The sequence below is a fragment of the Homo sapiens genome, chromosome 18, assembly GCF_000001405.40.
Source record: "Homo sapiens chromosome 18, GRCh38.p14 Primary Assembly".
NCBI lineage: Eukaryota > Metazoa > Chordata > Mammalia > Primates > Hominidae > Homo > Homo sapiens.
Window position 1 is genome coordinate 50,335,498 of NC_000018.10, and position 16,532 is coordinate 50,352,029.

Here is a 16,532-nt window from a genome sequence, read left to right on the forward strand (position 1 = left end):
TTTGATTATAATTGAGGGTAGAATTGCAATAGGCTTGTGTTAAAATGCCTAGAAAAGGGCCGGATCCCTCAGATTTTCTGATGCAGAGGTGAACCTTACAGGCCATCTCTGGTGCCTTCCCAATCTGCTCTGTCACGGTGGATGACTGCCACGAGGGATCAATTGGCCTAGGTTCCCCTACTAAACCTGTGTTTTTGGTGTGCGTGTAAATGGTGTAGTTGAATCCAGAGTATCTGGCTTGTTAATAATTTCTTCTGTAGATAGCGGAACTGCTAGGAGTATAATGTTATCCTCGAGTGTCTGTCTGTGTGGGCATATCCAGCAGTTAGTGCTGTGCGTTATGTCAGCAACCTGACATTACTGGGAGGAGTAAGTGCCTGGCTCCAGCCATAGAGGCAACAGTTAGCCGTGGTAGAATAAAAACAGAGCCACATTTAAAGAAAATGACAATATATAGTAAACTCAGGGAGATACGAGAGAAGAAGGGCTAACACCTAGTACCTCAGCACATTGATGTTGTGGTGTGGGAGTAAATGACATTACTAGGATAAATATAAAAAAATTTCATCTGGGTGGTAGTCTTGGAGGTTCCCCTGAAAATATCAATTGTATACTACCTCTCTTATAAAAGCATCAGTATTAAGAGGGTGAAGTTGCTCGAGAGAGACAGGTAAATAATTACTGAGAGCCTGTAGTATTAGCTTGGTGCAAAAGTAACTGCAGCTTTTGCCATTAATTTTAATAGAATTGAATAAAAATAATCAGCTTGAAGAATAAGGTCTAAAAGAAGTATTGGATTTATTTTTATTAACTTTAAGTAAGGTTAAAAAATTCTAAGTTCTTTGGTTTAACAAAACCTCTTTTACCTTTTTTTTAACTTTAAATGAGTTTTTAATGTTTATATTCTAGTTTGACCATAAATAATGTCTTATCTCAGTACCAGCCGCTTAGTAACAGCAGATTTAAAGCAGGGAGAGAAAAAGAGAGGAAGATAGAGAGCTTTAAAAGAGTCTACTTAAGTCTATGGCATAGGTTAACCATTTGAGCTCTGAATTTTTCTTGTAATTTGCCTATCAGTTTAAAATGTACACAAAAATGAGCCATAATATGTAATCAGCTATAGTTTCAAAGGGAACAACAAAATTAGAAGATAGGATGTTCGAAACCGTTTTTTCTTTTCTTTTCTTTTTTTTTTTTTAAATACAGAGATGGGGTTTCACTATGTTGCCCAGGCTGGTCTCAAATTCCTGGGCTCAAGCGATCCACCTACCTTGGCCTCCCAAAGTGCTAGGATTACAGGGATGAGCCAACATGCCCGGCCTGTTTTTCCCTTTAAGTCTGAGCTCCTGGATTGAACAGAAAAAGAGAAAAAGAAAAGAAAGGAATGCAGAGGAAAAGATTAAGCTTTATAGGAGGGCTTGTGAGCCTTTCAGCCACTGCATGATGTGGGGCCAGCACCCCTGCCATCCTTGTTTATCTCGTGTCACAGAGAACCTTAGCACCCCAGACCTACACAGTGTGGAACAAATTCCTTCCACCCCTGCAAGTCACTAGTTAAGGTGAGCTGTTTACAGGGGGAGTAGAGAGCCCCTTCAGCTCAAGGCCATCAGGTGTTGGCATTTTGTCCTGGGGGCCCTTTGGCTCTCATGACAGTCCTATTTCTAGTGGTCAAGCTTGTGGCAGAGGGGCAAGCCATGCAGGGCTTTTTCCATTTCTTTTATTGGGGCAGTTTGCTTTTCAGTGGCCTGGCCTTCTGTACCGATGGCAGTAACCTGGAAGAGTGTTCTTAGGGAAACCTGGAAGGGGCTGGTGCTTGTAAAGCAGCCAACAGTTGAGTCTGTGTTTTGCCTCTGCATTTGTTTTTTTCTTTCTAACCCTGTTCTACTCTTGGTTATAAAAGACTGAGGAGGCTAATTAGAGGATTTTCTGCATAGGAGCCATGCTGTAGTACACAAGAAAAATAGACATTTCTTTTTGAGAGTCTCAGGGTTAAATTTCTCTTAATGTTTTAGGACGCAACCCAGAGGTGAATCTGAAGAAATAGACGGGGTTTGTCTCATGGTAGGACTGGAAAATGAGCCTCTCGTGAGCCTGTCGGGGCTAACTGAACCGCACTTCCACGTGGGGCATCCCGTCAATGAAAAGGGTTCCACTCAGGTCTGCTGAGGGACTCAAGTGCACTTTCTAACGGGGTGTCTCACCTATTAGGAAAGACCTCTCAGTTGCCTGTGGGCCTTACACTGGGTGATCAGCCCACCTATGGGGAAAAAGGGTAAAGGAAGAGGTCTGTCTGGTGCCCGCCCAGGAGATGGGGGTGGGTAAAGGAAGACTCACTGTTCTGAGGCTGTTTGAGACCACTTGATTTAGCAATGCCCAGAACAGTTTGGCTCCACAGGAGAATCCAGAGTGAGAAGGAGAGGGTCTAAGTCACCTAAAACATGTATGAATTTGCCCTTAAGGAGCTTCCACTGTCAGTCATGTCACAGGTAGGGATTAGGGACTTTTTACTAGAAAAGAAAGGGGAGAGTCTTTTTCCCTTTTAGGCAAGGCAGCCAGCCCTGTTCACCCTTTGGCTTCAGGCAACACTGGAGAGTGGCCCTGGCCAGTTATCATTAATTTCCAGAGGGATAATAGAAGCCAGCTGCTGGGAGACTGAAAAGAGAAAATAAACTCAGGTCCCTCACCTGAAAGGGCAGTGGTGGTCAGACACTTCCACACAGATGCCTTTCAGTCCCACCAGAGTGTAGCTCTAGCCAGGGACCTACAGCTGTCTCTGTGTTTAGACACTGTCCACTGAGGATTGCAAGTTGGGAAAGAGGAAGAGAGAGAGGAGAGGGTTCCCCATAAAGAGAGTTCCCCATATGGGCCACCAAAATGTCACGGATGATTAGCGACTATCTGGGGCCAGTGGCATGGGGTTAAGAATTTACCAAGACAACTGTAGGTAAAGAAAAGCAGACATGTTAGAGAAAGTATGAAAATATGTTGTAAGGGTGCAACAGGCAGATTAGCAAGAGAGGAGCTGACAGCAAGGAAACAAAGCCTTGCTGGGGATTTTACAGGATGGTACTTCTGTGTGCTGAAGAGGGCTTTGTGCAGTACTGACAATGCCAAGATTGCAGTGAGCTAACTTGAATTTTTCTATTAGTAGAGAGTCTGGTGATAGCTGGGCACGGGAAGATTGTGAGTTATTTGCGCAGGAGGGCTATGTGTCCTGGACCATGAAGAAAGGCAGACTTATAGCTTATCTGATTTCTCTTTCTGCTTTCCTTTGGTCCTGCCAGCTTGACTCCGTTTCCCTAATTAGGACTCCACACCAGTTGTTTTCACTTTAGATTAGAAGTTCCTTGAAAACAGAGAGGAGGCCCCTAAGGGGTGAAGGGTAAACTATTCAGGGCTCATTGTATTCACTATTCTGCCTCCATGGAGCTCTGCACCGAGCAGGGGCTGGATCAATAACTCTAATTGCCTAAGTGTGGATAGAGGAGTCTGGCCTGTTGGAACTGGTCTGCACTAACAAATGAATCCAGGTCCTTAGGTCAGTAGTTCATGTGACTTGTCTGGACATCAACATTCTTCAGGAGAGGCATCTCCCTGGCCTCCTGCCACCATAGTCCTTTTATGCACCCATCCTTCCCGCCCAGCAGCTGCCTTGGTCTTTCCTAATAGGTGAGACACCCCGTTAGAAAGTGCACCTGAGTGCCTCAGCAGAGCTGAGTGGAACCCTTTTCATTGACGGGATGCCCCACGTGGAAGTGCGGTTCAGTTAGCCCCGACAGGCTCACAAGAGGCTCATTTTCCAGTCCCACCGTGATTGAGGTGATAACTTTAAAGCAGTAATAATATAGAAACCAAAAATGCTCACAGTCCAATCACCTTCCACAGAGGATGGTTCACAATGTAGAGGGAGAGTTCCAGATATCTTAACTGCATAGCCAATTCAAGGCTTGAAGAAAGGCAGACTTATAGCTTATCTGATTTCTCTTATTGCTTTTCCTTGGTACTGCCAGCTTGACTCCTTTTCCCTAATTAGGACTCCACACCAGTTGTTTTCATTTTAGATTAGAAGTTCCTTGAAAACAGGGAGCAGGCCATGGATGTGCTGCATCCCAAACAAGCACCCTTCTGTGACATGCTCCCATCCTCATCTCAGGAGACACTCCAAGGGTTGTCTGGGACAGTGAGAGCCCTTCAAGACCCCAAATTATGGTTGTCCAAATAGAGAACTTATTTATAAGATTGGTCAAGCTGATTATGGTGGATGAGAAAAAGCTTTCCTTATCTTTCAAACAACTCGTACCTAGTCACCCTCTCATGTTAAATGGAACCATGACTGTTGAGCTAGGCTGAGCCTAGGGACCCATGTGTATCCCCAAAGGCATTGTTACTATGAGGACAACATTGAGAGTGGGACCTTTCAGCTTTTGCTGCACAATGCCAAACAGCTGGCTGGACACTTCTGGTCCTTGAAGGACATAACCGTTTGGTTGTCATGGCAGCCCCACGCGGAGAAGGGTAATCCTCTGAGAGGGAAGGCCCACCGGAAATGGGCCCCATCACCATGGGAACCAAAGAGACTAGAACCTGCCATTTTGTCTCATGCAAGTAGCCCATCCTGCACTGTCCCGGGAAGCCCCACAGCCCGGATGGCCCTCAGGGGAGCCTCGCGGCCCTTCACCGTCGCGGGAAAAGCCAAGTTGGTGGCAGGAGGAGCCCACCACCAAGGCGATCTCACTGCGGAAAAACTCGACCCTCCGCCTTCACGTCTAGGGCGGCAGGTGGTAGAGCTGGGCCTCTCAGGCCCATGCCCGAGGGCAGGCGAGACAAGGAGCGCCCCCAAGTGGCCATGCGGTGTCCTCACGGAAGGCAGGGAGGGCGTCACGGGCCTTGGGGACCTTGACACAACCTGGAGCACGAGGCTGAGAAACCCACCACGCAGGCCAGCTGGAGGCTGCCGCCCAGCCGGGAGTCAGAAGCTGGAGCCACTGGGTGCTCCCGAAGCCATCTGGAGCACCTGAGGAACCTTGTGACTACAGTAGTCCCCATAGTCCCCACTGTCTTGTGGGCCTTGAGGACAATCAGAGGAGGAGGAGGGATCCGGTCTACACCATCAGAGTCGTGCTACTCAAGGCTGCTCTTCAATTTTTCCTATTCTCTGCCAGGAGCCACCTATCACACCACAAAAGTTTTCAATCACCATGTGGCAGTTTTTCTTTCCTGGCATTTTATCAAGAGTCTTCCTGCTTTTGTCTTTGTACTTTCAAGACAGTTTGTTATGTATCAGGTGCCATTTATCATCTTGCTTTGTGCTGTATAAAATATGTAATTCTGGCCAGGAGTGGTGGCTCACGCCTGTAATTTCAGCACTTTGGGAGGCCGAGGCGGGTGGATCACTTGAGGTCAATAGTTCGTGACCCGCCTGGCCAACATGGCGAAACCCCATCTCTACTAAAAATACAAAAATCAACCGGGTGTGGTGCCATACGCCTGTAATCCCAGCTACTCGAGAGGCTGAGGCAGGACAGTCACTTGAACCCGGGAGGCGGAAGTTGCAGTGAGCCGAGATTGTGCCACTGCACTCCAGCCTGGGGCACAGAGTGAGACTCTGTCTCAAAGTAAATAAATAAATAAATACACAAAATGTGTAATTCTTCCAGCATTTAAATTACATATATATAAACATAAAATTTAAATTACATCTGCACAAACATGCCCTGACATTTAAATTATATATATGCACACACACACATATATCTGTAAACCACCAGATAAAAATAAAAATGATTGCTTCTGTTTCAATAAAACTTTTTTTCTGCCTGTTAAATTAGAACGGGTGGCAGGTGAGGTAATTTTATTTGAACTATGTCTGCAGCCATTTAAGCCTAGTTAGAACTCTGTCATAATAAGGTAACTGATTTTGATCTCCATCTCTTAAAAAGGAGGGAGCTCAGCCCACTAGAAGAAATGTTGAAAACAAGACTCTGCTTGATAGAATTTTGGGAACCTCTCCATTGAGAAGTGTCAACAATGATGCTGTTTATCAGATTCTAGAAAGTGAGCAACCAAAGAAACATGCCAGAAAGTCTTTCTGCCTTGTATAAATTTGTACAACAAGCATTGCAGACCTGAAGTACTTTGCCCAATTGCTGTGGAGAGCAGCTACAAGTATGCTTAACATTAAGTGAATGTTTCAGTCACTGAGTACAAACTGGCATCAAAAGGTAATTTGGTAATTTAGATAGTTCCTCTGTCTGGACATGGGGACGATGTATGATGCCTCCAGAGGAGAACCAGGGAAACCCATCCGCTTTATGGTGCAGACTGGGAAGTGGGGATGTAAGGAAGCCAGAAAATAGGTTTAAAAAATTGACCATTCTGATGGGACTGAGTTGATAAAATATGGCAACCTGTATTTGTGATCTACATTTTGTATGTGTTTTCTTGTATTTTGTTATTTTGTTTATGTTCTCTCTCCCTTAACACCTAGTGAAATTATGTTTCACCTGAAAATGTCAGGTTGACCAACAGGAAATCCTTGAGCCTCCTCACCTTCTCAGGCCTACCTCTGGCACCCTATAGATGTCCCAGACTTGTCTTTGCTACTACTTTCTGTGATGTTGACAATCTTTTCCCTTCTTGTCTTCAACCCACTTCTCATTATCATTCTATCTTTTTCTTACCCTCCCTTATATCTGTTCAATTTTGTTCAACTGTGCATCTTCACACATATGCACTCTATAGGCTATGCTCTTTTAAAAGTAATAATGAAAATCCTCTTTGTATCTCTGAAAAGCTATCATTTCATTGACAAAAATGAACAGTAAGTGGACTTTAATTTTTTCTGATAAAACTGAAACTCTTACATTCCACTATTTTCTCCACTTATACTTTGAGTATCACAAAGAAACTTTCTGAACACATAGAGATAACAGTTTTTATGAATAGTTTTCCTCAATTGAACATTTTAATCTCTTTTTTCTCTTGAGACTTCCTCTTTGACCCACCCATGTGTTTAAAAGTGTGTTGTTTAATCTCCAAATATTTTGAGATTTTCTGACTTTTCATTATTGAGTTCTAGTTTAATTGTATTATAGTCTGACAGCATACTTTGTATAATTCCTATTCCATTAAATTTGTGAGCTGTCTTTTATGGCCCAGAATACACTCTACATTGGCAAATGTCTGTGTGAGCTTGAGAAGAATGTGTATTCTGCTGTTGTTGGATGCAATATTCTGTAAATGTCAATTAGCAATGGTTGATTAATGGTGCTGTTCAGCTCAACTAAGTCCTTACTGATTTTCTATCTGCTGGATCTGTCAATTACAGATAAAGGGGTATTGAATTCGCCAACATAAGAGTGGATTTGTTTATTTCTCCTTGCAGTTCTATCAGTTTTTACTTCACATATTTTGATGTTTTGTTGTTACCTTCATACACATTAGGAATTGTTATGTCTTCTTGGAAAACCAACATCTTTATCATTAAATAAATAATATTCCTCTTTATCCCTAATAATTTTCCTTGCTCTTAAATCTGCTTTGCCTGAAATTAATACAGTGACTCCAGCTTGGTTTTGATTAGTGTTAGCATGGCATATCTTTCTCCATCCCTTTACTTTTTTATTTTTTTATTTTTATTATTTATTTTTTATTTTTTGAGATGGAGTCTCGCTCTGTTGCCCAGGCTGGAGTGCAGTGGCGCACTCTCGGCTCACTGTAACTTCTGCCTCCCGGGTTCAAGAGATTCTCCTGCCTCAGCCTCCTGAGTAGCTGGGACTACAGGCGCATGGCACCACATCTGGCTAATTTTTGTATTTTTAGTAGAGACAGGGTTTTGCCATGTTGGCTAGGTTGGTCTCAAATTCCTGACCTCAGGTGATCTGCCTGCCTCAGCCTCCCAAAGTGCTGAAATTACAGGTGTGAGCCACCACACCCAGCCAATTTCTTTACTTTTAATCTATGTCCTTATAGTTAAAGTCAGTTTCTTGTAAAAAACATAGTTGGGTCTTGGTTTTTCATTCACTGACACTGTCTTTTTTTTTTTTTGAGATGGAGTCTCACTGTGTCTCCCAGGCTAGAGTGCAGTGGTGCAATCTTGGCTCACTGCAACCTCCGCCTCCCAGGTTCATGCGATTCTCCTATCTCAGCCTCCTGAGTAGCTGGGATTACAGGCGCACACCACCACACCAGCTAATTTTTGTATTTTTGGTAGAGATGGGGTTTTGCCATATTGGCCAGGCTAGTCTCGAACTCCTGACCTCAGGTGATCCACCCAACTCAGGCTCACAAAGTGCTGGGATTACAGGTGTAAGTCACCACGCCTGACCTACTGTCTGTCTTTTAATTGGTATATTTAGACCACTGATGTTTAAAGTGATTTTTTATATAATTGGACCAGTATCTACCATATCTGTTACTGTTTTCTATTTTGCCCTTCTTGTATGTTTTTTTTTTTTTTTTAATTTTTTTTTTTATTATACTCTAAGTTTTAGGGTACATGTGCACATTGTGCAGGTTAGTTACATATGTATACATGTGCCATGCTGGTGCGCTGCACCCACTAACGTGTCATCTAGCATTAGGTATATCTCCCAATGCTATCCCTCCCCCCTCCCCCGACCCCACCACAGTCCCCAGAGTGTGATATTCCCCTTCCTGTGTCCATGTGATCTCATTGTTCAATTCCCACCTATGAGTGAGAATATGCGGTGTTTGGTTTTTTGTTCTTGCGATAGTTTACTGAGAATGATGGTTTCCAATTTCATCCATGTCCCTACAAAGGACATGAACTCATCATTTTTTATGGCTGCATAGTATTCCATGGTGTATATGTGCCACATTTTCTTAATCCAGTCTATCATTGTTGGACATTTGGGTTGGTTCCAAGTCTTTGCTATTGTGAATAGTGCCGCAATAAACATACGTGTGCATGTGTCTTTATAGCAGCATGATTTATAGTCCTTTGGGTATATACCCAGTAATGGGATGGCTGGGTCAAATGGTATTTCTAGTTCTAGATCCCTGAGGAATCGCCACACTGACTTCCACAATGGTTGAACTAGTTTACAGTCCCACCAACAGTGTAAAAGTGTTCCTATTTCTCCACATCCTCTCCAGCACCTGTTGTTTCCTGACTTTTTAATGATTGCCATTCTAACTGGTGTGAGATGATATCTCATAGTGGTTTTGATTTGCATTTCTCTGATGGCCAGTGATGATGAGCATTTCTTCATGTATTTTTCGGCTGCATAAATGTCTTCTTTTGAGAAGTGTCTGTTCATGTCCTTCACCCACTTTTTGATGGGGTTGTTTGTTTTTTTCTTGTAAATTTGTTTGAGTTCATTGTAGATTCTGGATATTAGCCCTTTGTCAGATGAGTAGGTTGCAAAAATTTTCTCCCATGTTGTAGGTGGCCTGTTCACTCTGATGGTAGTTTCTTTTGCTGTGCAGAAGCTCTTTAGTTTAATTAGATCCCATTTGTCAATTTTGGCTTTTGTTGCCATTGCTTTTGGTGTTTTGGACATGAAGTCCTTGCCCACGCCTATGTCCTGAATGGTAATGCCTAGGTTTTCTTCTAGGGTTTTTATGGTTTTAGGTCTAACGTTTAAATCTTTAATCCATCTTGAATTGATTTTTGTATAAGGTGTAAGGAAGGGATCCAGTTTCAGCTTTCTACATATGGCTAGCCAGTTTTCCCAGCACCATTTATTAAATAGTGAATCCTTTCCCCATTGCTTGTTTTTCTCAGGTTTGTCAAAGATCAGATAGTTGTAGATATGCGGCATTATTTCTGAGGGCTCTGTTCTGTTCCATTGATCTATATCTCTGTTTTGGTACCAGTACCATGCTGTTTTGGTTACTGTAGCCTTGTAGTATAGTTTGAAGTCAGGTAGCGTGATGCCTCCAGCTTTGTTCTTTTGGCTTAGGATTGACTTGGCGATGCGGGCTCTTTTTTGGTTCCATATGAACTTTAAAGTAGTTTTTTCCAATTCTGTGAAGAAAGTCATTGGTAGCTTGATGGGGATGGCATTGAATCTGTAAATTACCTTGGGCAGTATGGCCATTTTCACGATATTGATTCTTCCTACCCATGAGCATGGAATGTTCTTCCATTTGTTTGTGTCCTCTTTTATTTCCTTGAGCAGTGGTTTGTAGTTCTCCTTGAAGAGGTCCTTCACATCCCTTGTAAGTTGGATTCCTAGGTATTTTATTCTCTTTGAAGCTATTGTGAATGGGAGTTCACTCATGATTTGGCTCTCTGTTTGTCTGTTGTTGGTGTATAAGAATGCTTGTGATTTTTGTACATTGATTTTGTATCCTGAGACTTTGCTGAAGTTGCTTATCAGCTTAAGGAGATTTTGGGCTGAGACGATGGGGTTTTCTAGATAAACAATCATGTCGTCTGCAAACAGGGACAATTTGACTTCCTCTTTTCCTAATTGAATACCCTTTATTTCCTTCTCCTGCCTGATTGCCCTGGCCAGAACTTCCAACACTATGTTGAATAGGAGCGGTGAGAGAGGGCATCCCTGTCTTGTGCCAGTTTTCAAAGGGAATGCTTCCAGTTTTTGCCCATTCAGTATGATATTGGCTGTGGGTTTGTCATAGATAGCTCTTATTATTTTGAAATACGTCCCATCAATACCTAATTTATTGAGAGTTTTTAGCATGAAGGGTTGTTGAATATTGTCAAAGGCTTTTTCTGCATCTATTGAGATAATCATGTGGTTTTTGTCTTTGGCTCTGTTTATATGCTGGATTACATTTATTGATTTGCGTATATTGAACCAGCCTTGCATCCCAGGGATGAAGCCCACTTGATCATGGTGGATAAGCTTTTTGATGTGCTGCTGGATTCGGTTTGCCAGTATTTTATTGAGGATTTTTGTATCAATGTTCATCAAGGATATTGGTCTAAAATTCTCTTTTTTGGTTGTGTCTCTGCCCGGCTTTGGTATCAGAATGATGCTGGCCTCATAAAATGAGTTAGGGAGGATTCCCTCTTTTTCTATTGATTGGAATAGTTTCAGAAGGAATGGTACCAGTTCCTCCTTGTACCTCTGGTAGAATTCGGCTGTGAGTCCATCTGGTCCTGGACTCTTTTTGGTTGGTAAACTATTGATTATTGCCACAATTTCAGAGCCTGTTATTGGTCTATTCAGAGATTCAACTTCTTCCTGGTTTAGTCTTGGGAGAGTGTATGTGTCGAGGAATGTATCCATTTCTTCTAGATTTTCTAGTTTATTTGCGTAGAGGTGTTTGTAGTATTCTCTGATGGTAGTTTGTATTTCTGTGGGATCGGTGGTGATATCCCCTTTATCGTTTTTTATTGTGTCTATTTGATTCTTCTCTCTTTTTTTCTTTATTAGTCTTGCTAGCGGTCTATCAATTTTGTTGATCCTTTCAAAAAACCAGCTCCTGGATTCATTGATTTTTTGAAGGGTTTTTTGTGTCTCTATTTCCTTCAGTTCTTCTCTGATTTTAGTTATTTCTTGCCTTCTGCTAGCTTTTGAATGTGTTTGCTCTTGCTTTTCTAGTTCTTTTAATTGTGATGTTAGGGTGTCAATTTTGGATCTTTCCTGCTTTCTCTTGTAGGCATTTAGTGCTATAAATTTCCCTCTACACACTGCTTTGAATGCGTCCCAGAGATTCTGGTATGTGGTGTCTTTGTTCTCATTGGTTTCAAAGAACATCTTTATTTCTGCCTTCATTTCGTTATGTACCCAGTAGTCATTCAGGAGCAGGTTGTTCAGTTTCCATGTAGTTGAGCGGCTTTGAGTGAGATTCTTAATCCTGAGTTCTAGTTTGATTGCACTGTGGTCTGAGAGATAGTTTGTTATAATTTCTGTTCTTTTACATTTGCTGAGGAGAGCTTTACTTCCAACTATGTGGTCAATTTTGGAATAGGTGTGGTGTGGTGCTGAAAAAAATGTATATTCTTTTGATTTGGGGTGGAGAGTTCTGTAGATGTCTATTAGGTCCGCTTGGTGCAGAGCTGAGTTCAATTCCTGGGTATCCTTGTTGACTTTCTGTCTCGTTGATCTGTCTAATGTTGACAGTGGGGTGTTAAAGTCTCCCATTATTAATGTGTGGGAGTCTAAGTCTCTTTGTAGGTCACTCAGGACTTGCTTTATGAATCTGGGTGCTCCTGTATTGGGGGCATAAATATTTAGGATAGTTAGCTCCTCTTGTTGAATTGATCCCTTTACCATTATGTAATGGCCTTCTTTGTCTCTTTTGATCTTTGTTGGTTTAAAGTCTGTTTTATCAGAGACTAGGATTGCAACCCCTGCCTTTTTTTGTTTTCCATTGGCTTGGTAGATCTTCCTCCATCCTTTTATTTTGAGCCTATGTGTGTCTCTGCACATGAGATGGGTTTCCTGAATACAGCACACTGATGGGTCTTGACTCTTTATCCAACTTGCCAGTCTGTGTCTTTTAATTGCAGAATTTAGTCCATTTATATTTAAAGTTAATATTGTTATGTGTGAATTTGATCCTGTCATTATGATGTTAGCTGGTGATTTTGCTCATTAGTTGATGCAGTTTCTTCCTAGTCTCGATGGTCTTTACATTTTGGCATGATTGTGCAGCGGCTGGTACCGGTTGTTCCTTTCCATGTTTAGCGCTTCCTTCAGGAGCTCTTTTAGGGCAGGCCTGGTGGTGACAAAATCTCTCAGCATTTGCTTGTCTATAAAGTATTTTATTTCTCCTTCACTTATGAAGCTTAGTTTGGCTGGATATGAAATTCTGGGTTGAAAATTCTTTTCTTTAAGAATGTTGAATATTGGCCCCCACTCTCTTCTGGCTTGTAGGGTTTCTGCCGAGAGATCCGCTGTTAGTCTGATGGGCTTTCCTTTGAGGGTAACCCGACCTTTCTCTCTGGCTGCCCTTAACATTTTTTCCTTCATTTCAACTTTGGTGAATCTGACAATTATGTGTCTTGGAGTTGCTCTTCTCGAGGAGTATCTTTGTGACGTTCTCTGTATTTCCTGAATCTGAACGTTGGCCTGCCTTGCTAGATTGGGGAAGTTCTCCTGGATAATATCCTGCAGAGTGTTTTCCAACTTGGTTCCATTCTCCCCATCACTTTCAGGTACACCAATCAGACGTAGATTTGGTCTTTTCACATAGTCCCATATTTCTTGGAGGCTTTGCTCATTTCTTTTTATTCTTTTTTCTCTAAACTTCCCTTCTCGCTTCATTTCATTCATTTCATCTTCCATTGCTGATACCCTTTCTTCCAGTTGATCGCATCGGCTCCTGAGGCTTCTGCATTCTTCACGTAGTTCTCGAGCCTTGGTTTTCAGCTCCATCAGCTCCTTTAAGCACTTCTCTGTATTGGTTATTCTAGTTATACATTCTTCTAAATTTTTTTCAAAGTTTTCAACTTCTTTGCCTTTGGTTTGAATGTCCTCCCGTAGCTCAGAGTAATTTGATCGTCTGAAGCCTTCTTCTCTCAGCTCGTCAAAATCATTCTCCATACAGCTTTGTTCTGTTGCTGGTGAGGAACTGCGTTCCTTTGGAGGAGGAGAGGCGCTCTGCGTTTTAGAGTTTCCAGTTTTTCTGTTCTGTTTTTTCCCCATCTTTGTGGTTTTATCTACTTTTGGTCTTTGATGATGGTGATGTACAGATGGGTTTTCGGTGTAGATGTCCTTTCTGGTTGTTAGTTTTCCTTCTAACAGACAGGACCCTCAGCTGCAGGTCTGTTGGAATACCCTGCCGTGTGAGGTGTCAGTGTGCCCCTGCTGGGGGGTGCCTCCCAGTTAGGCTGCTCGGGGGTCAGGGGTCAGGGACCCACTTGAGGAGGCAGTCTGCCCGTTCTCAGATCTCCAGCTGCGTGCTGGGAGAACCACTGCCCTCTTCAAAGCTGTCAGACAGGGACACTTAAGTCTGCAGAGGTTACTGCTGTCTTTTTGTTTGTCTGTGCCCTGCCCCCAGAGGTGGAACCTACAGAGGCAGGCAGGCCTCCTTGAGCTGTGGTGGGCTCCACCCAGTTCGAGCTTCCCGGCTGCTTTGTTTACCTAAGCAAGCCTGGGCAATGGCGGGCGCCCCTCCCCCAGCCTCGTTGCCGCCTTGCAGTTTGATCTCAGACTGCTGTGCTAGCAATCAGCGAGATTCCGTGGGCGTAGGACCCTCTGAGCCAGGTGTGGGATATAGTCTCGTGTTGCGCCATTTCTTAAGCCGGTCTGAAAAGCGCAATATTCGGGTGGGAGTGACCCGATTTTCCAGGTGCGTCCGTCACCCCTTTCTTTGACTCGGAAAGGGAACTCCCTGACCCCTTGCACTTCCCAGGTGAGGCAATGCCTCGCCCTGCTTCGGCTCGCGCACGGTATGCACACACACTGGCCTGCGCCCACTGTCTGGCACTCCCTAGTGAGATGAACCCGGTACCTCAGATGGAAATGCAGAAATCACCCATCTTCTGCGTCGCTCACGCTGGGAGCTGTAGACCGGAGCTGTTCCTATTCGGCCATCTTGGCTCCTCCCTTGTATGTTTTTTTTTGTCTGACACTGGTTTTTTGCCTTCTCTGTTTTTAATTGAGAATTTTATACAATTTTATTCTCTCTTTTAACATATTAATTATACTTTTAAAACTTTTAAAAGTGGTTGCCTTAGACTTTGCAATATACATTTACAACTACTCCAAGTCTGCTTTCAAATAATGTACTACTACTTCATGGGTAGTGCAAGTATCTTATAAGAGAGTATTTCCAATTCTTTCCTCACATCCTTTATAACATTGTTATAATTCATTTCATTTATTTATAAGCTATAATTACCAAATATAGCTGTTATTTTGAACAAATTGCTATCTGTTAGATCACTTAAGAATTAAAAAATAAATTTTATTTCTCTTCATTTATTCCTTCTCTAATGTTCTTCTTTTCTTTATGTAGATCTGAGTTTCTCATCTGTAATGTTTTCCTTCTTTCTGAAGAACTTCTTTTAACATTTCTTGCCAATCAGGTCTACTGGCAAAAATTTCCTCAAATTTTGTTTGTCTGAGAAAGGCGTTATTTCTCCTTCACATGGAATGATGATTTTGCTGGGTACAGAATTCTAGATTGTTGATTTTTTTCAACACCTTAAAAATTTCAATTAACTCTCTTCTTGCTTGCACAGTTTCTGAGGAGTGGTCCAGTTTAATTATTTTCCTTATTTCTCTATAGGTAAGGTGTTTTATTCCTCTGGCTTCTTTGAGGAATTTTTTGTCTTTGATTTTCTGCAGTTTGAATATGACATGCCTAGGTGTATATTTTTTTATATTTATCTTACTCGGGCTTTTCTGAGCTTACTGAATCTGTTGTTTTGTATCTGACATTAATTTGAGGAAATTCTGTCACTGTTACTTCAAATATTTATTCTGCTCCTTTCTCTTTTTTTTTCCTGGTATTTCCATTATATGTATGTTACACCTTTTGTAATTCTCCCACAGTTCTTGGATTTTCTTTTCTGACTTTTTCATTCTCTTTTTGTTCTTGGCATTTCCATTTTGGAAGTTTCTACTGACGTATCTTCAAGCACTGATTCTTTCCTTGGCATGTCCAGTCTATTGATGGGCCCATCAAAGCATTCTTCATTTCTGCTACATTGTTTTTCATTTCTGCTGTTTCATTTTGATCCTTAGAGTTTCCCTCTCTCTATTAGAGTACCCATTTGTTCTTGCATGTTGCCTACTTTTCCCATTAGAACCTGAAAACATATTGTAAGATTAATGGTAGCCGTAAAGACCGCTTAATCATGCCACAGGGATGGCACTATGTGTTACTCAGCAGTATGATGCAAACTGACCAGGGATTTCCAACCTGATATGGTGATTTCCAGAAGGCAAGGCCTAGAGCACAAGGGTACCTCTGTACAGATACAACTTTCAGAAGCCTTAAAACAAAACTTACCCTTACAAAAATAGCTTAAACCCCCTTTATGAAAGAATAATCTGGTAATTAACCTGGACTGAACACAGATATGAAAAAAGTGGGAAAGATTCCCTAAACTTTGAAAATGTTGTCTGGACAGAGACCCTCCCAGTCAATCAGTCATCTGACCCTCTGGTTTTATCTAACCCATGCCACTGGCCTGCTTCTGCTATCATCCTTGTAAGAGCTCTACCAGAACAAACTTCTTGAATAGCAGATGGTGTCTAGGGCTCATCATTGGTGCAGATTGAATGGAAGGGGAAACAGTATGCTTCGGAATAAATGGTATGCTTTGAATGGAGCTATTGCATCTTGGTCCCTTGGTAGAATGTGTGGCTGTGTTCAGGGTTGAGATATACAACCTTTATATCAGAATGCATGTCACTGATACATTGTGAATGCCCTGGAGCAATATTTAAGATCAGAAACATCTTGAATGGGATATTGTATTTCCTACAATAGTCTCTTGCCTGCAGAATGAAATAGTCAAAAATTAGTCTTCAAACAATGCAGATGTCACCCAGGCTTCCTTGTTATGATGACAATAATTAGGAAATGTCTGCTTGCTCACATTCTTGGATGCTCTAGAGTTATCTGAGTGTTAGGTTAGA